At 42.2% G+C, this 22,113-nt stretch overlaps 1 protein-coding gene and 1 pseudogene across 8 annotated transcripts in view, besides 1 other annotated feature; one reads left to right on the top strand and one right to left on the bottom strand.

The window, feature by feature from the left end:
• The window catches only part of NEMF (nuclear export mediator factor), a 70,706-nt gene that overhangs the window by 10,754 nt on the left and 37,839 nt on the right, over positions 1-22,113 (top strand). For 6 of the 8 annotated variants that reach the window (XR_943557.4, NM_001301732.3, NM_004713.6 and 3 more), the window contains exons 5-16: positions 1,169-1,317; positions 3,829-3,896; positions 7,586-7,672; positions 8,539-8,612; positions 9,758-9,828; positions 9,909-9,984; positions 10,674-10,736; positions 12,609-12,686; positions 12,773-12,981; positions 13,228-13,419; positions 13,681-13,744; positions 16,080-16,168. Coding sequence is in view for 7 of the 8 variants with exons in the window: in NM_001301732.3 (NP_001288661.2) it covers positions 1,169-1,317; positions 3,829-3,896; positions 7,586-7,672; positions 8,539-8,612; positions 9,758-9,828; positions 9,909-9,984; positions 10,674-10,736; positions 12,609-12,686; positions 12,773-12,981; positions 13,228-13,419; positions 13,681-13,744; positions 16,080-16,168 (1,220 nt within the window). In the remaining variant the exon portion in view is untranslated. Of the gene's footprint in view, positions 1-1,168; positions 1,318-3,823; positions 3,897-3,920; positions 4,701-7,585; positions 7,673-8,538; positions 8,613-9,757; positions 9,829-9,908; positions 9,985-10,673; positions 10,737-12,608; positions 12,687-12,772; positions 12,982-13,227; positions 13,420-13,680; positions 13,745-16,079; positions 16,169-22,113 lie in introns of those variants that run through there. The other 2 variants (XM_047431912.1, XM_017021761.2) reach the window with 2 other exon arrangements.
• Positions 2,208-2,310, bottom strand: RNU6-539P (RNA, U6 small nuclear 539, pseudogene; annotated as a pseudogene).
• Positions 19,647-20,379: an enhancer, noted in NCBI's record as "NANOG-H3K27ac hESC enhancer chr14:50288374-50289106 (GRCh37/hg19 assembly coordinates)". NCBI's record gives its function as "activates a minimal SCP1, AML or CMV promoter by ChIP-STARR-seq in naive H9 embryonic stem cells {active_cell/tissue: H9 hESC(naive)}" and the evidence as "EXISTENCE:reporter gene assay evidence [ECO:0000049][PMID:30033119]".

Raw genomic sequence — 22,113 nt, 5'->3', positions numbered from 1 at the left:
CTCCCAGGTTCAAGCCATTCTCCTGCCTCAGCCTCCTGAGTAGCTGGGATTACAGGCATGCGCCACCATGCCTGGCTAATTTTGTATTTTTAGTAGAGACGGGGTTTCTCCATGTTGGTCAGGCTGGTCTTGAACTCCGGACCTCAGGTGATCTGCCCGCCTCAGCCTCCCACAGTGCTGGGATTACAGGCGTGAGCCACTGCGCCCAGCCATTCAGTGAACATCTTTAAGCATATTGCCTTTGGTTTTACTGGAGTGTTGGAGTTACTTCATTGGGCTACATTACCAAATGTGGAAATTTGTGGGCAAATGGTATAATTAACTATATTGCTCTTGCCATGTAACTATTAATATTAAAAGACAAATTGCAGGTGGAAGTGTAATATGTTCCTTGCCTGGCTGGCTTCTGAAATTGACCACATTTTCTTTCTCAATTTTTTTTTTTTTTTTTTTTTTCTTAAGACGAGAGTTTCGCTCTTGTTGCCCAGGCTGGAGTGCAATGGCTCAGTCTCAGCTCACTGCAACCTCCACCTCCCAGGTTCAAGCGATTCTCCTGCCTCAGTCTCCCAAGTGGCTGGGATTACAGGCATGCACCACCACGCCCAACTAATTTTGTATTTTTAGTAGAGACAGGGTTTCTCCATGTTGGTCAAGCTGGTTTTGAACTCCCGACCTCAGGTGATCCTCCTTCCTCGGCCTCTCAGAGTGCTGTGATTACAGGCATGAGCCACCATGCCCGGCTTCTTTCTCAATTTTTAAGTAGTCTCAAAAATGATTTGCTTTGTTTTTTTCTGTTTTGTTTTGTTTTTTTATTTCCTTTTTTTTTTTTTTTTTTTTTGAGACAGAGTTTGCTCTTGTTGCCCAGGCTGGAATGCAGTGGTGCGATCTCAACTCACTGCAGTCTCCACCCCCCAGATTCAAGTGATTCTCCTGCTTCAGCCTCCCAAGTAGCTGGGATTATAGGCACCCGCCACCATACCTGGCTAACTTTTGTATTTTTAGTAGAGATGGAATTTCACCATGTTGGCCAGGCTGGTCTCAAAGTCCTGACCTCAAGTGATCTGCCTGCCTCGGCCTTCCACAGTGCTGGGGTTACAGGTGTGAGCCACTGTGCCTGGCCTCAAAAATTATTTGAAAGAGCGCTAAATTGTATTTTATTTTATTGCAGGGGAACATTGTTCTTACAGATTATGAGTACGTAATTTTAAATATTCTAAGGTTTCGAACTGATGAGGCAGATGATGTTAAATTTGCTGTTCGTGAACGCTATCCACTTGATCATGCTAGAGCTGCTGAACCTTTGCTTACTTTGGAAAGGTAAAGTGTTTTGTTTTTAAACCCATTTCGTATTGTATTAAAATGTACTGGGCAACATAATGAGACCCTGTCTCTTAAAAAAAAGGTAAAATGGGTCATATGTCAGAACGTGAAAGAACTGTGAGATAAAATATTTTGTTTTACTTAGATAACGTAACTCAATTTAGACTGTTTGAACTACATAAATGTGCATGTAAGCAATTAAGTCTTATTTGGGAGAGGCAAATGTATGTCCTTAGGTGTTTTTTTTTTTTTTGAGATGGAGTCTCGCTCTGTTGCTCAGGCTGGAGTGCAGTGGCACGATCTCAGCTCACTGCAACCTCTGCATCCCAGGTTCAAGCGATTCTCCTGCCGCAGCCTCCCGAGTAGCTGGGACTATAGGCGTGCGCCACCACGCCCAGCTAATTTTTGTATTTTTAGTAGAGATGGGGTTTCAACATGTTAGCCTTGCTGGTCTTGATCTCTTGACCTCAGGCAATCTGCCTGCCTCGGCCTCCCAAAGTGCTGGGATTACAGGCATGAGCCACTGTGCTCGGTTGTCTTTAGTTTTTTTAGAGGTGGTGTCTCACTCCCCCTTCCCTGAGGCTGGAGTGCAGTTGGCGTGATCATAGCTCACTGCAGTCTTGAACTCCTGGGCTCAAGCAATCCTCCTGCCTCAGCCTCCCAAGTAGGTGGAACTACAGGAGCCCACCACAATGCCTGGCTAATTTTTAAATTTTTTTGTAGACATGGGGTCTTGCTTTGTTGCCCAAGTTGGTCTTGAACTTGTGGCTTTAGCAATCCTCCCACTTCAGCCTTCTAAAGTGTTGGAGTTACAGGTATGAGCGACCGGGCCCAGCCAATGTCTTTCTTTTTCATTGTAATTTTTTTAAATTTTAAATTTAAAATTAAAAAATATGGAACACTTAACAAATTTCATGTCATCCTTGTGCAGGGGTCGTGCTAATCTCTGTTTCGTTCTAATTTTAGTATATGTGCTGCCGAAGCAAGCCCAATGTGTTTTTTAGCTAAGTTTTGGGTTACTTCAAATGGTTATGATTTCTTGGTAAATTGAGGAGACTTATTAGCTACTCTGTGAGAAGACAGATGGATATCTTGTGCAGAGGGCAAAGGGAGAGAAATTCTGGTTTACGTAAGAAAAAGGGAAGTTCGGTGAGGTAAAGTAATGATTGTAGCTGTATTTTTGTATTTCAGCTGTATTCCAGCTAGCTGGAAGGCCCTGCTGACTCATATTCTATAGCAGTGGTTCCTGAAGTTTAACATACATCATTTCTTTGTTCCTTCTCCACTCCCACTGCTTCACTTAACTAGTCTACATTAAATAAATAAATAAAGTTGATCAGGCACTGTAGCTCACGCCTGTAATTCCAGCACTTTGGGAGGCCGAGGAGGATGGATCACCTGAGGTCAGGAGTTCAGACCAGCCTGACCAACATGGTGAAACCCCGACTCTACTAAATTAAAAAAAAAAAATTAGCCGGGCATGGTGGTGCATGCCTGTAATTTCAGCTATTTGGGAGGCTGAGGCAGGAGAATCTCTTGAACCCAGGAGGCAGAGGTTGCAGTGAGCTGAGATTGCGCCATTGCACTCCAGCCTTGGCAACAGAGCAAAACTCTGTCTCAAAAATAAAAAAAATAAAAAAAAAAAAATTAACATGCTTCAGCATTACCTGGAGGGCTTGTTAAAACATAGATTGCCACCCCCACCCTCTGCTAATTCAGTAGATCTAGTCTAGGACCCAGGAATTTGCATTTCTAACTAGTTCTCAGGTAATGCTGATGCTGGTATGGGGACCACATTGATGTACAGCATTGTTAAAAGTTGTTAGATGCTGGCTGGGCACGGTGTCTCACGCCTGTAATCCCACCGCTTTGGGAGGCCAAGGTGGGCGGATCACAAGGTCAGGAGATTGAGACCATCCTGGCTAACACGGTGAAACCCCGTCTCTACTAAAAATACAAAATATTAGCCGGGCGTGGTGGCGGGCGCCTGTAGTCCTAGCTACTCGGGAGGCTGAGGCAGGAGAATGGCGTGAACCCAGGAGGCGGAGCTTGTAGCGAGCCGAGATCGTGCCACTGTACTGCAGCCTGGGCGACAGAGCAAGATGCCGTCTCAAAAAAAAAAAAAAAAACCAAACAAAAAAAAAGTTGTTCGATGCTTAATTAGGTAAACCATTTTGGATATTAAGATATGGCATGAAAATTTACAAACATTTAACTTTTACAGAAAAATGTCATTTTTATGTCATTTATATGTGGGCACATTGCTGACAATATGCCTTGGTCGAAAAAATACTGGTTTATCTTAGAAAACTGCCATTCAAGAACCTGTTAATCTTGGGTAAATATCTTTTATGATCCATTTTCTCACAACAGAAGAATGAATTCCTGTTACGTTTCAGATTATTGTAAAGATCAGGTGAACTGATACAGATGAAAGTAGTATTAATATGAAGATTGCTGTAAGGTTTATTTAAGATATGATAGAGGCATGTCCGTTTTGTTTCACAGGTTGACTGAAATAGTAGCCAGCGCACCTAAGGGTGAACTACTGAAGAGGGTGCTTAACCCATTACTTCGTGAGTATTCCTGCAAATAGCAGTGAAATGTTTGCAAGGCAGTGTGGTTTTCAGGAATATATTGAAATCTTTTATGGTTTTATTAGAAAATTTGAACAAGTGATCCTTGGAGTAAGTAGGAGTTTATTGTCAAAGAAAGAGAAGTTAAACCACATGAAGTTTGAGCTTTATCTATTAGATTTTATTTAAAAGCAATGCAGATTGTGTTATCTAGTACTTCAGTGCTAATGGTAGTATTCTAAGAAATCAGATTTTTTCATTGTGAGTCTTTGATTTAATAACCACTTAGCTTAGTTTTTTTTTGGTTTTTTTTTTTTTTTTTTAATTGGTGGGTCTCAGGGCATCCCAGCATCTGACAGGTCCTTTTGATCCCAATAAGCATTTTTGATCCCAATACACTTTTATACTTGAGAAGATCATCACTTAGCCCTATATTAAGGAATCTAGAGAAGACGGGGAGGCAGGTACCATTGATTACTGAGCACTAGAGAGTTAACTCTTCCTCTCTTATGAAATTAGAAAGCATTCAAAAGTTATCTTTAGAACTTTCCAGCTGTTAGTATAGCATGTGTAAAATTTGTATGTTTAAGCCAGTGTCTCCCTGGCAAATGCAAATTTCTTTTCTTTTTTAATTTATTTTTTTTGTTTGTTTTAGAGGTAGGGTCTCATTATGTTGCCCAGGCTGGTCTCAAACTCCGAGCTCAAGCAATCCAACCACCTTGGCCACCCAAATTGCTGGGATTATAGACGTGAGCCACCACACTTGGCCTTCCCCTGGCAAATTTCTGTAATGTTTGAAATCAGGTAGTACAGGTTGAACATTACTAATGTGAAAATCTTAAGCCTAAAATTACTATTATTTTTGAGACAGAGTCTCTCTCTGTCACCAGGCTGGAGTGCAGTGGTGCAGTCTCAGCTCACTGCAACCTCTGCCTCCCGGGTTCAAGCAATTCTCCTGCCTCAGCCTCCCAAGTAGCTAGGACTACAGGCTCATGCCACCACGCTCAGCTAATTTTTTTTGTATTTTTAGTAGAGATGGGGTTTCACCATGTTGGCCAGGATGGTCTTGATCTCTTGACCTCGTGATCCACCTGCCTTGGCCTCCCAAAGTGCTGGGATTACAGGTGTGAGGCACCGTGCCTGGCCTGAAGTCTGAAACTTTTTGAGCACAGACGTGATGCCACAGGTGGAAAATTCCACACTGACCTTATGTGACAGCTATACAGAATTATTTAAAATATTGTATAAAATCACCTCCAGGCTATATTGCGTAAAGTCATAAATGAATTTTGTGTTTAGATTTGGGTTCCATCCCCAAGGTATCTCATTATGTATATGCAGATATTCCAAAATGTGAAAAAATCTGAAATCTCAAACACTTCTATCCCAACACATCACATAAGGGATACTCAACTTACATGTCCTCTTAACTGTTCACTTTTTTTTTTTCAAAAGAGTTTTGGCATTTGGCATTTCAAAAGATCTTCTGCATTTCCCAAGGGTCTCGCTCTGTTGCCCAGGCTGAAGTGCGGTGCCACGAACACTGCTCACTGCAGCTTCCACCTCCCAGGTTCAGGCCATCTCCTGCCTCAGCCCCACAAGTAGCTGGGACTACAGGGATGAACTCCTGGCTAATTTTTCTATTTTTTGGTAGAGACAGGGTTTTACCATGTTGTCCAGGTTGGTCTCGAACTCCTGAACTCAAGCAGTCTGCCCGCCTCAGCCTCCCAAAGTGCTGGGATTACAGGCGTGAGCAACTGCGCTCGGCCAGCATTTCCTTATAAAATTTAGAGTTGACTTGTTACTTTCTATGAAAAAAGCCTCATAGGATTTTGATAAGGATTACATTATTACTATTATTTGAGACAATCTCATTCTGTTGCCCAGGCTGGAGTGCAGTGGCATGATCTCGGCTCACTGCAACCTCCATTTCCTGGGTTCAAGTGATTGTCTTGCCTCAGCCTCCCACGTAGCTGGGATTACAAGTGTATGCCACTACACCCACTAAGTTTTGTGTTTTTAGTAGAGATGGGGTTTCACCTTCTTGGCCAGGCTGGTCTCAATTACAGCTGTGAGCCACTGCCTGGCCTGGTAAGGATTACATTAAGTCTGTGGATCAGTTTGGGGAGAATTGCCGTTTTAACTACATTGAGTCTTCTATGAAGAGAGAATGTCTGACTATTTATTTAGATCTTTAATTTCTCTCAGTTAGATTTATTCCTAAACATTCTATTCTTTTTGATGCTATTGTCAGTGGAATTTTCTTAATTTCATTTTTGCATAGAAATACAATTGATTTCTATATATTGGTTTTTGTATCCTGCAAACCTGATAAACTTGTTTATTCATTCTAGTAGGGTTTTTTTGTGGGTTCCTTAGGATTTTTTAAGGTACAGGATCATGTCATCTGTGAATAAGGATGCTTTACTTCTTCCTTTAGAATCTGAATGCTATTAATTAATTTGCCTTATTGTGCTAGCTATAGCTTCCAGTACAATGTTGAATAGCAGTGTGAGACTGAATATTCTTTCCTTGTTCCTGATCTTAGGGGGATAATATTCAGTCCTTCACCAGTAATTATCATGTTAGCTGTAGGTTTTTCATAGGTGTCCTTATAAGGTTGAGAATGCTCCCTCTATTCCTAGTTTATTGAGAGTTTTTATTAGGAATTAGTGTTGAATTTTGTCAAATGCTTTTTCTGCATCTATTGAAATGATATATGGCTCTTTTCCTTTATTTTATCAATATGGAGTATTATATTAACCAATTTTTGGTTGCCAAACCAACCTTGCATTCCAGGGATAAATCCTCATTGTGGTTGAAGCCCATTAAATTCCTATAACTTGCACTGACTTTTGTAAGTTAATTGTAGTTTCAAATTTCTTTAAGGACTAGAATTGTCATTTTTTTTTTTTTTTTTGGTTGCGGGGTGGGGCGGGGGACGGAGTTTCACTCTTGTTGCCCAGGCTGCAGTGCAATGGCACGATCTTGGCTCGCCACAGCCTCCGCCTCCCGGGTTCAAGTGATTCTCCTGCCTCAGCCTCCTGAGTAGCTGGGATTACAGGCATGTGCCACCACGCCTGGCTAATTTATTGTATTCTTAGTAGAGATGGGGTTTCTCCATGTTGGTCAGGCTGGTCTCCAACTCCCGACCTCAGGTGATCTGCCTGCCTTGGCCTCCCAAAGTGCCGGGATTATAGGCATGAGCCACCGCACCCAGTCTAAGAACTAGAATTGTCATTTCTAAGTAACACTTCAAAATAAGTAAACTTATTGTTTTCACCAGCCACTGTTATTGAGTAGATCATTGATATTGGGAAATAAATTTGTGCTATATTTTGAATGTTAAATTTTAGGCTAGGTCATGGTGGCCCACACCTGTAATCTGAGCACTTTTGGAGGTTGAGGTGAGTGGATCACCTGAGGTTAGGAGTTCGAGACCAGCCTGGACAACATGGTGAAACCTTGTCCCTACTAAAAATACAAAAATTAGCTGGGCATGGTGGTGGGTGCTTGTGATCCCAGCTACTCAGGAGGCTGAGGCAGGAGGTGGGAGGCAGAGGTTGCAGTGAGCCAAGATTGCACCATTGCACTCCGGCCTGGGCGACGGGTAAAACTCCATCTCAAAAAACAAAAACAAAAAAGAATTTATAGGAAAATACTAAAAGTAATATCCTCTGCATTTATAGCCTATGGACCAGCTCTCATTGAACACTGTCTTTTAGAAAATGGATTCTCGGGTAATGTCAAAGTGGATGAAAAACTTGAAACTAAAGGTATGTCTGCATGGTACATTTTTCATTTATTTCATTTTTTTTAAACTATGAAAATTTTTTCTGGGAAAGTAATAAGGGAGCAGGTGGTTCTAGAATGAAAAACATTTGACCAGGCACACTGGCTCATGCCTGCAATCCCAGCACTTTGGGAGGCTAAGGTGGGAGGATCACTTAAGCCTGGGTGTTTGAGGCTGCAGTGGGTGGTGACTGCACAGCTGCACTCCAGCCTGAGCAACAGAGTGAGACCCCCATCTCAAAAAACCCCACAAAAACAAGTATCACCACTCTCAAAAAAAAAAATTGAATGAGATTTTAGTGAATGTTTTAGTTTCTGCAATATACTAAATCAGTGCACTCATAAAATGACAACAGGTGCTGGTGGTGGTGTTTTGTTTTTGTTTGTTTTTATAAAATGACTCTGATGTTTATATGGAGCAAAAGCATGTGAAAATGTTCAGGATAACTCTGGAAAATACTAGTAATGATTTATTACTGTCTGTGTAACCCTTCACAGATTAAAATATGAAGCTATAGTAATTAAAACTGTAAGTTTTTGGAGAAGGAATAGCATAAAGATTCCAAAAATAATTTGAAATAATATGGGAATTTAGTTTATGAACAAAGTTCCTTTCAGGTCATGGAGGGAAAGGTGGATGATTCAATAAAAGCTACTTGGACAACAGGCTGTTCAAAATGAAACCATATATCCACATATACTGGTTATAAACATGAAATCACTATCTCTAATTTTCTTGAACGCAACATTATTTTGTAAGCACTTTCCTGTTTTTCTACATAGTTGTTTAGCCACGGTTAATTGACACTTGATTGGCACTCCTTTTTTCCTTTTTTTCCCCCACCATTAGATATTGAAAAAGTACTTGTTTCTCTGCAGAAAGCAGAAGACTATATGAAAACAACATCCAACTTCAGTGGGAAGGTAGCACCATGTATACTTACTATATATTGTTGTGATTTATTTGGGTTTTCAGAAATTAAACGTTCATTAAAGGATCATTATATATACATTTTATTTTAATTTGGAAAATTGTTATCTGTAATATGCTTATTCCAGGATAGTTTTTTTGTTTTGTTTTTTGAGACAGTCTTGCTCTGTTACCCAGGCTGGAGTGCAGTGGCATGATCTTGGCTCATTGCAACCTCTGCTTCCCTGGTTGAAGTGATTCTCCTGTCTCAGCCTCCCGAGTAGCTGGGACTACAGGCACGTGCCACCATGCCTGGACAGTTTTTATATTTTCAGTAGAGATGAGGTTTCACCGTGTTGGCCAGGCTGGTCTCGAACTCCTGACCTCAAGTGATCCGCCTGCCTTGGCCTCCCAAAGTGCTGGGATTATAGACATGGGCCACTGCACCCGGCCCAGGATAGTGTTTTAAAAGTTTTTGTTGGTTTATAAGTTTTTTTCTGTTCCCTATCTTTTATAGAAAGTACAATGTCAGGTTAGTATCGGCTCTTCAGAAAAGTTGAGGAATTTACAGTTATTTCTTTAGTTTCAGATAGAGAAGCACATTTTCATTTGTCAGCCCTTTTCAAAAATGTTGTGATTTACAGCTCCCAACCATTAAATATTTTTTGAATTACCTAGTAGCTTATGAGTGTTTTTCTTCCCTTTTCAAAGCATAACTATTTATAGAAAATTAAAATTAATATCAGTCATAGAAAGTAAACCTTTGGATTAGGTGCAAATTAATATCAGTCACAGAAACTAAATTTTTAGGTGCAGTGGCTCACACCTGTGATCTCAGCACTTTTGGAGGCCAAGGTGGGCGGATCACTTGAGACCAAGAGTTCGACACCACCCTGGCCATCATGGCAAAACCCCTGTCTCTACTAAAAATACAAAAATTAGCCAGGTATGGTGGCACACACCTGTAATCCCAGCTACTTGGGAGGCTGAGGCATGAGAATTGCTTGAACCCGGGAGGCAGAGGTTGCAGTGAGCCGAGAATATACCACTGCACTCCAGCCTGGGTGATGGAGCGAGCGCGACTGTATCAAAAAAAAAAAAAAGAAGTAAATCTTTGTTAATTATGAATAGGAATGATTTTAATGTTGCATTTTTGTAGGGATATATCATTCAGAAAAGAGAAATAAAACCAAGCTTGGAAGCAGATAAACCAGTTGAAGACATACTGACGTAAGCATATAGGCATGGGTCAATTTGCTTTGGATGTTTGTTAATGTTCTCGAATGTGATATAATAAATATGTTTTACAGGTATGAGGAATTTCATCCTTTCTTGTTTTCTCAACATTCACAATGTCCATATATAGAATTTGAATCATTTGACAAGGTGGGTTTTCCGTTCTGTTCCTTTACCAGTTAGTTAGCATGATATGAGCTGTTGATATCAACTTGCTTCTATTGAGAAACTGAAACTATACTTGCTTTACATTCACTGTGAATCTGGGCATTAAAGATCAGTGTCGTCACAGATACAGCTGTTGGAAATAATTGTTGCCACTTTATTTCAGGATGAAGGACCAGAGGTTTGAACTTCATTTGATTCTTGATACTGTTTAGCCATATAATACATTTACCGGAAATCTGTTCAAGTTCTTTGAGTGGTGTTATGAAACACAATGGAATCTAAAATTCTGTGTATGCAGCTGGGCTTGCTGGCTCATGCCTATAATCTCAGCATTTTGGGAGGCCAAGGCAGGCAGATCAGTTGAGGTCAGGAGTTCAAGACCAGTCTGGCCAACACAGTGAAACCCTGTCTCTGAAAAACTACAAAAATTAGCGGTGTGTGGTGGGGTGCACCTGTAGTCCCAGCTGTTTGAGAGGCTGAGGCAGGAGAATCACTTGAACCTCGGAGGTGGAAGTTGCAGTGAGCCTAGATCGCGCCACTGCAGTCCCGCCTGGGCAACAGAGTGAGACTCTGTCTCAAAAAAAAAGAAAAAAAAAATAAAATTCTGTGTATGCAAGTTGAAGTAGAGACTGTGCTTTTTTTTCCAACTAGTTGTTTGTTTTTTTAATAAGGCGGTGGATGAATTTTATTCCAAGATAGAAGGCCAGAAAATTGACTTAAAAGCTTTACAACAGGTATGTATTATTAAAAACACATATTAAACCAGCTAGTCTTTAGCGGCTTGATGGGTAGATGATATAGGAAAGGGTAGCCTTTCAGAAAGAGTGTAAGAAGTAGTATGGGAACTCTCTGACCTGCCTCTTTATTTATGATAAAGGTTTATGAAGAAGGTCCATGGGGGATTTTATTGTTGAAAAGTATGTCCTCATTTGTTTCATGAGTATTTCAGATATTCTGTAAAAAAAGGAAAATACGGTGGGAACGTGAGGCCTGTTATTTACACCTTAATGTGGTTTGCTCAGAACAACCCAAAGCTTCTCAAACATTGCTGTTAAGGAGATACTGTTTTAGGGAGATTTTAAATAGGCCAGAGGAGGGGATATTGTTTATCATTAAACTGTTTCTTTTTTAAATGGACTTTAAAGCCAAGTCTTAATATGTTTTCTGTGTATCATGACTCCAAAAGAAGTGATATACAGTATTTTCCCAGCACATTTGACCATGTTTTTAGAGCATTTGCTGCAGAACAGTTTCATAAATTGTTAATAGTCACTCTTGATTTGAAGGGGATTTGATTTTTTCAAAAACAGTCTTAAAATATGTGTGCAAAAATTTCAAATTATTTGAGGCTGGGCGCGGTGGCGCACGCCTGTAAATCCCAGCACTTTGGGAGGCCGAGGCGGGCAGATCACTTGAGGTCAGGAGTTCAAGAACAGCCTGGCCAGCATGGTGAAAACCTGTCTCTGCTGGAAATACAAAAATTAATGGGGTGTGGTATGGGTGTCCAGCTACTCAGGAGCCTGAGGCACAAAAATTGTTTGACCCTGGGAGGCGGAGGTTGCAATGAGCTGAGACTGTGCCACTGCACTCCAGCCTGGGTGACAGAGTGAGACTCTGCCTTAAAGAAAAAAAAATCAAATTGTTTGAATCCCTGTACCACTTCCTCTTCAGTTTTTAAAAATTAGTTAATCATAGCACAATTTCAAAGCAGGTAGGCCAGTCAGATGAATTATATACATCATGTAATTACCACATGGTGGCAGCACTTTGGCTAGTAAACTGAACCCCATGGTTTCATGGGTGTCAAAATACTAGTGATTTATTTTGGTAATTATTTTGTGGGTTTTAATAGTCATCATTCTTATCTAAATTTTAAAAAATATTTCATCTAGCATTTAAATACTCATTAATTGATGATATTACTAGTGTTAGAAATTTTGTCCCCCAATTGATAACCTTGAAATGTAAAGTATATATGATAAAATGCCAAATAACTACCATGAGCCTTTGTCTTATTAATTTAGGGGAAAAAGTTTCTGTAAAATACTGGAAATAGTTGTGAGAAAATCAAAAGTAGCAAAAAATACAAAGTCATTTGGTAATTTATGCTCTTTGGGAATTCATTCCCTGCCAGGTGCAGTGGCTCAGGCCTGTAATCCCAGCACTCTGGGAGGCCAAGGTGGGAGGATTGAGCTCAGACATTGGAGAGCAGCCTGGGCAACATAGCGGGACCCGGTCTCTATTATTTAAAAAAAAATAAAGAATTCGTTCTCCCAAACTTTACTTTTGTGCCATAGGAAAAAATGTCTTGATTTCTGCCTGTTTGAATAATGCCAAGGGTATTAGGGGTATATCTTATATACACAGTAACCTGTAATCAAAATACCTTTCTATATAAGGAGTGGGAGTTAGGAAGACAGGAGAAGTAATTTTGGGGCATGGAACGCATTGTAGTGGGATAGGCCTAGGGTGGTAGACTATGGGAACTTCAGCTAGCTAGATAACAGCATAGATGGGGTCAGGATAGTGAGTGTTGGGAAGTAAGAGAGGGATGTCATGAGGTAGGAGAAATCTAATTTTTAAAAAATCTGTTTTGCCAATAAAAGGAAAAGCAAGCATTGAAGAAATTAGATAATGTTCGAAAGGATCACGAAAACAGATTGGAAGCTCTTCAGCAGGCTCAGGTATTATGTTTGGCTTTCTCAGTGCTTTTTCAAAAATGTTAACTTTAACTGGCAATGTAGTAAATGTGTGTGGTTTGTTTTTTAAGGAAATAGACAAACTGAAAGGAGAGCTCATAGAAATGAACCTACAAATAGTTGACAGAGCCATTCAGGTAGTTCGAAGTGCTTTAGCTAACCAGATAGATTGGACAGAAATTGGGTTAATTGTGAAAGAAGCCCAGGCTCAAGGAGACCCTGTTGCAAGTGCAATCAAAGAATTAAAACTACAAACAAACCATGTTACAATGCTGCTAAGGTAAGTTTGACTCTTAGTCAAGCAGTTAATGCTTGTCTTTATTTTGTTATTTTAATTGTTCACTGTATTAAACATTTTTTCTTCATATTTTGAAATTCTCAAAGAAAGGGAAAAAACTAATTTAGATTAAAATAAATAATGAAACTTCCAGTACTGTAAACCATTTATAATTTTATTGAAGAAGAAAATTGAAAATAAAAGTGATGTCATTGACGTTAGTGAAATGCTATTGAATATTTTTAATAGAAATCCATACTTGTTATCAGAGGAGGAAGATGATGATGTTGATGGTGACGTCAATGTTGAGAAAAATGAAACTGAACCACCAAAAGGAAAAAAGAAAAAACAAAAGAATAAACAGCTGCAGAAGCCTCAGAAAAATAAGCCCTTACTTGTAGATGTTGATCTCAGCTTGTCAGCATATGCCAATGCCAAAAAGTAAGTCATTTAACTTTACATTTTAGGCCAAGTGTTATCTGCAATAAATTAAGGAATTAAGGACATTTTAAAAAATTTTAAATTTCACTTGTACATGCATACTTTTTTTGGGTGAAAATACTTTTTTAAATTTAGTTTTGTTAATTATACAGTTTGTTCTGATTTGTTCTGTATAATTTGAGAATTTGTCAAGTTAGAACTAAGTAGAAAACTGAAGAATAAATATTATACTTAAAATTTAAGAGAAATATGTTTTTCTAGGTATTATGATCACAAGAGATATGCTGCTAAGAAAACACAAAAGACTGTTGAAGCTGCTGAGAAGGTACTGAGTATTTCTTAGAGTGAATGTTAGTTGTTTGTGCCTGCGTAATTTAATGGACATAATTATTTCTTCTGTTTAAATGAGGTTTTCTAATTCAGAAGTATCTTTCAAACTTAACTTTGCTTTAAATATATGTATTTCCAGTATTTTTTCCCCCCAGGACTGCTCCTCCCCTATTCTTCCTCATCTCAGTAAATAACACCTTCATTTTTCTGTTCACTCAGGTTAAAAATGTTTGTGATATCCTGGACTCTTTTCCCATAAATCATGCAATCCATCAGTAAATCCTTTGGTTCTTTCTTTAAAGTACAGCCAGAATCTGGCTACTACTCATTATTTCCACTGATCAGTCCCCTATCACCTCTGTGTTCACATGGACTATGACAAGTAGCCTCTTATTGGATCTCTCTCCTCCTCCTCTTTTCCCACTACAGTCTGTTCTCCACATAGCAGCCATTGTGACCCTTTTTTTTTTTTGCGATGGAGTTTCACTCTTATTGCTCAGGCTGGAGTGCAATGGCTTGATCTCAGCTCACTGCAACTTCTGCCTCCCAGGTTCAAGCGATTCTCCCACCTCAGCCTCCTAAGTAGCTGGGATTACAGGCGCCCGCCACCACACCCAGCTAATTTTTGTAGTTTTAGTAGAGACAGGGTTTCACCATGTTGGTCAGCTTGGTCTCAAACTGCTGACCTCAGGTGATCCGCCCGCTTCAGGCCTTGACCTTCGGCCTCCCAAAGTGCTGGGATTACAGGTGTGAGCCACCATGCCTAGCCCCGTTGTGATCCTTTTGAATCAAAAGTGAAGACTGGGTGTGGTGGTTGACGCCTGTAATTCCAGCACTTTGGAAGGCCGAGGCCGGTGGATCGCTTGAAGCCAGGAGTTTGAGACCAGCCTGGCCAACATGGTGAAACCCCATATCTACTGAAAATACAAAAATTAGCCTGAGGTGATGGCGGGTACCTGTAATCCCAGCTACTTGGGCGGCTGAGGTGGGAGAATCTAATGAACCCGGGAGGTGGAGGTTGCAGTGAGCTGAGATCATGCCATTGCACTCTAGCCTGGGAGACAGAGCGAGACTCCGTCTCAAAAAATATATTAAAATAAATAAATCAAAAGTGAAGTCCTTTTTCTCTTCCAGTTGCTTCCCATCTTAATACAATTCAGAGCCCTTCTCCTATCCTGCAAGAAGGACGGGAGATCTCCTCCCCTCTGACCTCAACACCTGCATTCCTCCTCTCATACACTCTTTCTGGCTACACTGGGATCTTAGCTGTTCATAAAATAATGACACGTGCTCCCCTCTCAGGGTCTTTGCCCTTGCTGTTCTCTCTACCTGGAATTTTCAGTTTGACCCCTCTCTTCATTTACATATCCACTTAAATGAGATTTAATCAGAGAATCCTTCCTTGACCGCTCATTACTAACGATAGTACCACCCTGAATCTCTCTTTATTTTGCCTTATTTTCTTCTTGAAAAACACTCCCCCCAGCCCAACATATGTTTATTTGAATATTTTTTCTGGATTCCCTCTAGAATATAGATTGCATGAAAGTAGAATCTTTGTGTTGTTCATTGCTGCATCCCAATCCCTGGAATATTGCCTGGCACAGAGTAGGCACTTTAATAGCTGTTAAATGAGTGGCCTTCATGACTTGGCCCTCTGTCTATTGCTTCAACCTCATTTCTTGACATTATGCCCTTGATTACTACTTGCTGTACTTGCTGGTCTTTTTTTTTTTTTTTTTTTTGCTTGTAATGCCCTTTTTCCTATTCTTTGCCTGATAACCCCGTTAGTCGTTGAGGATTCAGCTTAAATGTCATTTCCTCAGAGATACCTTCTTTGACCATAACCCAGTGTAAATCGGGTTTCCTTGTTATATTCCTGTAGCATCTTTAGAAGCACTCACCATTATATATTTATTTAAAGGATTATATGATTAATAGTTGTCTCTTCTAGACCTAGTGGGGTGGGAGTGGGGGCTTTGTCCATCTTGTTCACTCTTATATCTCTAATGGCATCTAGCCTAGAACCAAGCATATGATAGGTACTCAGTATCTAGAAAATGACAAGGTATTTATTACTTTGTAGGTCTTGGGCAAATATTTTCATGTAGTAATTCTTTAGTTTAGATTATTTTAATACTTCAGGCAAAAATATTTTCATTTCTTCATTACTTTCAAGTATGCGTATTTGTGTGTGTGTGTGTTTGTGTGTGTGTGTGTAGATTGTGCCATTTTGTGACATTTAAAAAAATTCTTGCCCCATTATTTACTTTGGTGTTATTTAAATACATTCTTAACAAATTGTTTTTAAAACTCTTTTCTATAAATAGGCATTCAAGTCAGCAGAAAAGAAAACAAAGCAAACATTAAAAGAAGTTCAGACTGTTACCTCTATTCAAAAAGCAAGAAAAGTATATTGGTAAGTGTTCTGTCTCTTTCAAATACAGTTTTTGTTTTTATTAAAATTATCCATGCACATTGTTTAGAAAAGTCAAACAGTTCTACAAAGCTTGTTACAAAACCAGTAGCTCTGCAATTTTTTGTTGGTTTGTTTGAGACAGGTTCTCTGTCACCCAGGGTGGAATACAGTGGCATGAACATGGCTCACTGTAGCATTGACCTCCTGGGCTCTGACAGTTCTCCCACCTCAGCCTCCCAAGTAGCTGAGACTACAGGCACATGCCACTGTGCCCAGCTAATTTTTTAATTTTTTGTAGAGGCAGGGTCTCACTTTGTTGCCCAGGCTGGTCTCAAACTTCTAGGCTCAAGAGATCCTCCTGCCTCAGCCTCAGTGCTGGATTACAGGCATACGCTTCTGCACTCAGCTAGTTCTCCAGTTCCTCACCTTTACTCCTATTGCCTGCTCTCCGAAGGAAACCACTTTTAGCTCTTTTAGTTGATTCTTTTGATATTTGCCTTTATTTATCTTAGTAATATGTTTATATTGCTACTTCTTAATTTTTCTGTTTTATATTCTTACTAACTTCCCACTGGGAAAGATGAGGATTTCCCTCTTTCCACTTGTGTTCCATTACATACACACACAGTTACAGCATAATTTTGTCAAGATTAATAGCATTGGCATCATTATAAATATTTAAATTGTAGTCATATAATTTATATGTCATAGCTGACCCACATAGAATTCTGTTTTCTTTTTCCTTCCTTGCTCAGTTTTAAAAATCTTCCCTGGAGTTATTAATTGTCATTTCATTTGCTTTTTATTTTTGTTCTTATCACTAATTTATCTAAATAATATCTTCCAAGTGTGTTCAGACACATTGGAATTCAATCAGTATCATCTTGCAGAGGTCAGAAGTCTCTCCTGGAGCTTTTTGACTTACTTAATTTTATATTGGTTCTCTCTAAGCATCGTACACTTTTCTTTTTATTGTTATCTTTATCCTTCTCTGTTTTGGAAACTCTTTTCTGGATCTCATACTTCTTTCTTGGTTGAAAGAGTGTGTGTTCCAGAAGCTTCACAAGAAAGGGTGTATAGAAAGCAGAGTTTTTGAGGTCTCCAATGTATAAAACATTTTACTCTTATAGTTTGAGTGGGCTGGGCATGGTGGCCCATTCCTGTAATCTCAGCACTCTGGGAGGGTGAGGTGGGTGGACCTCTTGACCTCTGGAGTTCGAGACTAGCCTGTGCAACATGCCAAACCCCGTCTCTTAAAAAAAAAAATTGAGTATAGAATTCTATGAAAATATATTTTCCTCAGACTTTTTTTTTTTTTTTTTGAGACGGAATTTCACTTTTATTGCCCAGGCTGGAGTGCAGTGGCGCAGTCTTTGGCTCACTGTAACCTCTGCCTTCCAGTTTGAAGCGATTCTCATGCCTCAGCCTCTGGAGTAGCTGGGATTACAGGCACCCACCACCACGCCTGGCTAATTTTTGTATTTTTAGTAGAGATGGGGTTTCACCTTACTTGCCACCCTGGTCTCAAACTCCTGACCTCGTGTTCCACCCGCCTCAGCCTCCCAAAGTGTTGGGATTACAGGCGTGAGCCACCACGCCCCGCCTCCTCAGACTTTTAAAGGTATTGCTTCATTATAGTAACTTGAGAAATCTGGTATTATTTTGATAGTTGATATTTTATTTATTTTATTTTTTTTGAGACAGAGTCTCACTTTGTTGCCCAGGCTGGAGTGCAGTGGCATGATCTTGGCTCACTGCAACCTCCGCTTCCTGGGTTCAAGTGATTCTCCTGTCTCAGCCTCCCGAGTAGCTGGGATTACAGGTGCACGCCACCATGCCCAACTAATTTTTGTGTGTTTAGTAGAGAAGGGTTTCTGCCATGTTGCCCATGCTGGTCTCTTAACTCTTGGCCTCAAGTGATCTGCCCGCCTCAGCCTCCCAAAATGCTGGGATTACAGGCTTGAGCCATCACACCTGGCTGATAGTTGATATTTTACATGAAACTTGTTTTTGCCTCTCTACAAGCTTGTAGATATTTCTCCCCTCCCAATTTTTTCTCCAAATTTTTCAAAATTTTACAATTGGGGTTGGTGGTGATGTTTTAATCCATTATGTTGGATACTTTGTGGGCTGTTTTAATTCAGAAACTTTCAGTTCTGAGACATTTTCTGGAAATAGTTCTTGAAAAACTGCCTGACCTCTGCTTTCTTTTTTCTTTTCCTTCTGGAAATCTTGTTTTTAAGATATGGAACCCCCTAGACCAGTCCTCCAATTTTGTTGTATTTTCTATTTTCAAGTCTATCGTTTTGCTCTACATCCTGGGAGTTTCCTCAGCTTTATCTTCCACCAAATCTTTCCACTGAATATTTTATTACTTCCTATCATGTTTTTAATTTTAAGAACTCTCTTTTCAACATAATGTTCCTGGCAAAAAAAGAGAGGACTTTTTTTTTTTGGTTCTTGGAATATACCCTTTTTAAAAAAATAAATAAGTTTCTGCTTTAGTTTCTTTTAGCTCTCTGAGAATAGTTTTGATGTATTAAATTTTTTTAGTATTCTTTTTTGGCAAGTCTCTGTCTTCTCCAAGTTGTTTCTTTTTAAATTTTTTTAAATTATATATATTTAGGCTGGGCACAGTGGTGCTCACCCATGTAATCCTAGCACTTTGGGAGACCAAGACAGGTGGATCACTGGGGGTTAGGAGTTTGAGACCAACCTGGCCAACATGGTGAAAACCCATCTCTACTAAAAATACAAAAAAAATTAGCTGAGTGTGGTGGCAGGTGCCTGTAATCCCAGCTACTAGGGAGGCTGAGACACAAGAATCACTTGAACTTGGGAGGCAGAGGTTTCAGTAAGCCGAGATCGTGCCACTGCACTCCAGCCTGGGTGACAGAGCAAGACTCTTTCTCCAAAAAAAAAAAAAAAAAAATCTCTAAGGGGACTCTGATAATGCTAGGCCTCTCAAGAACAAAAAGTTAAGGTCATGCAGTCCCCCTACCACACCACACATACTGATAGGAGACCAGAAGTTAATCTCTTCAGCAGACATACTCCCTTTCTTCACTTAACATGGCAGTAGGCTTTCCACAATCTATCACACACATAGACATTGTCATCCTTTTCATCCCTGCAGTGCATAAATGAGAGGAAAGGGCCACCATTACCTCTTTTTTTTTTTTTTTTTTTTTTTTTTTTAAGTAGAGACTGGATCTTTCAGTGTTGGCCAGGCTGATCTCGAACTCCTGGGCTCAAGTGATCCTCCCACTTCAGCCTCCCAAAGTGCTGGGATTACAGATAAAAGCCACCATGCCTGGCCCTGCCATTATTACTTTTTTTTTCTTTGAGACAGAGTCCTAGCTCTGTTGCCCATGTTGGAGTGCAGTGGTGCGATCTTGGCTCACTGCAACCTTCACCTCCCAGGCTCAAGGGATTCTCCTGCCTCAGCCTCCCAAGTAGCTGGGACTACAGGTGTGCGCCACCATGCCCGGCTAACTTTTGTACTTTTTTTTTTTCCTCTTTTTTTTTTTTATTAAAATGTGCATCATTCTTTTATTTTTATTTTATTTTATTTTTTTTTATTGATCATTCTTGGGTGTTTCTCGCAGAGGGGGATTTGGCAGGGTCATAGGACAACAGCGGAGGGAAGGTCAGCAGGCAAACAAGTGAACAAAGGTCTCTGGTTTTCCTAGGCAGAGTGTTTGTGTCCCTAGGTACTTGAGATTGGGGAGTGGTGATGACTCTCAACGAGCATGCTGCCTTCAAGCATCTGTTTAACAAAGCACATCTTGCACCGCCCTTAATCCATTTAACCCTGAGTGGACACAGCACATGTTTCAGAGAGCACAGGGTTGGGGGTAAGGTCATAGATCAACAGGATCCCAAGGCAGAAGAATTTTTCTTAGTACAGAACAAAATGAAAAGTCTCCCATGTCTACTACTTTCTACACAGACACAGCAACCATCCAATTTCTCAATCTTTTCCCCACCTTGCCCCCTTTTCTATTCCACAAAACCGCCATTGTCATCATGGCCCATTCTCAATGAGCTGTTGGGTACCTCCTCCCAGACGGGGTGGTGGCTGGGCAGAGGGGCTCCTCACTTCCCAGTAGGGGCGGCCGGGCAGAGGCGCCCCTCACCTCCTGGACGGGGCGGCTGGCCGGGCGGGGGGCTGAGCCCCCCACCTCCCTCCCGGACGGGGCGGCTGGCCGGGCGGGGGGCTGAGCCCCCCACCTCCCTCCCGGACGGGGCAGCTGGCCGGGCGGGGGGCTGACCCCCCCACCTCCCTCCCGGACGGGGCGGCTGGCCGGGCAGAGGGGCTCCTCACTTCCCAGTAGGGGCGGCCGGGCAGAGGCACCCCTCACCTCCTGGACGGGGCGGCTGACTGGGCGGGGGGCTGACCCCCCCACCTCCCTCCCGGACGGGGCGGCTGGCCGGGCGGGGGGCTGAGCCTCCCACCTCCCTCCCGGACGGGGCGGCTGGCCGGGCGGGGGGCTGACCCCCCCCACCTCCCTCCCGGACGGGGCGGCTGGCCGGGCGGGGGGCTGACCCCCCCCACCTCCCTCCCGGACGGGGCGGCTGGCCGGGCGGGGGGCTGAGCCCCCCACCTCCCTCCCGGACGGGGCGGCTGGCCTGGCGGGGGCTGACCCCCCCACCTCCCTCCCGGGCGTGGTGGCTGCCGGGCGGAGACGCTCCTCACTTCCCAGACGGGGTGGCAGCCGGGCGGAGGGGCTCCTCACTTCTCAGACGGGGCGGCCGGGCAGAGACGCTCCTCACCTCCCAGACGGGGTCGCGGCCGGGCCGAGGTGCTCCTCACATCCCAGACGGGGCGGCGGGGCAGAGGTGCTCCCCACATCTCAGATGATGGGCGGCCGGGCAGAGACGCTCCTCACTTCCTAGATGGGATGGCGGCCGGGAAGAGGCGCTCCTCACTTCCCAGGTGGGGAGCACTGAGTTAACGAGACTCCGTCTGCAATCCCGGCACCTTGGGATGCCGAGGCTGGCGGATCACTCGTGGTTAGGAGCTGGAGACCAGCCCGGCCAACACAGCGAAACCCCATCTCCACCAAAAAAATACGAAAACCAGTCAGGCGTGGCGGCACGCACCTGCAATCGCAGGCACTCGGCAGGCTGAGGCAGGAGAATCAGGCAGGGAGGTTGCAGTGAGCCGAGATGGCAGCAGCACAGTCCAGCTTTGGCTCGGCATGAGAGGGAGACCGTGGAAGGGGGAGGAGAGAGGGGAGAGGGGATTTTGTACTTTTTGTAGAGATGGATTTCACCATATTGGCCAGGCTAGTCTCGAACTCCTGACCTCAAGTGATCCACCCTCCTCGGCCTTCCAAAGTGCCGGGATTATAGGCATGAGCCACCGCGCCCAGCCGATTATTAGCTCTTGATACAATACTTTCAGAATCTGAAACGGAGAGGGTAAGGAACTTCAGCGAAGTCATGCAGTGACCAGAGGACAACGCGTAAGTGCTGACAGGTTTGAGGAATGACTCTGTCATGGCACCAAACTCAAAAGGTATTCATTAACTTTTCTTTGAGCCATAAAAAGGATCAAATGTGTCATTTCAACAAACACACAGACACTTGCCTGCTGTCAAAAGGAAATGGGGGCCAGCCACAGTGGCTCATGCCTGTTATCCCAGCACTTTGGGAGGCCGAGGCGGGCAGATGACAAGATCAGGAGTTTGAGACCAGCCTGGCCAATAAGGTGAACCCCCGTTTCTACTAAAAATACAAAAATTAGCCAGGTGTGGTGGCTTGTGCCTGTAGACCAAGCTACTCGGGTGGCTGAGGCAGAAGAATCGCTTGAACCTGGGAGGCGGAGGTTGCAGTGAGCCAAGATGGCGCCTCTGCACTCCAGTCTGGGCAACAGAGTGAGACTCTGTCTCAGAAAAAAACAAAAACAAAAAAAAAAAATGGGTGGCTGAAGTGGCATT

The sequence above is a fragment of the Homo sapiens genome, chromosome 14, assembly GCF_000001405.40.
Source record: "Homo sapiens chromosome 14, GRCh38.p14 Primary Assembly".
Lineage (NCBI taxonomy): Eukaryota > Metazoa > Chordata > Mammalia > Primates > Hominidae > Homo > Homo sapiens.
This window is presented reverse-complemented; position numbering and strand designations above follow the sequence as displayed.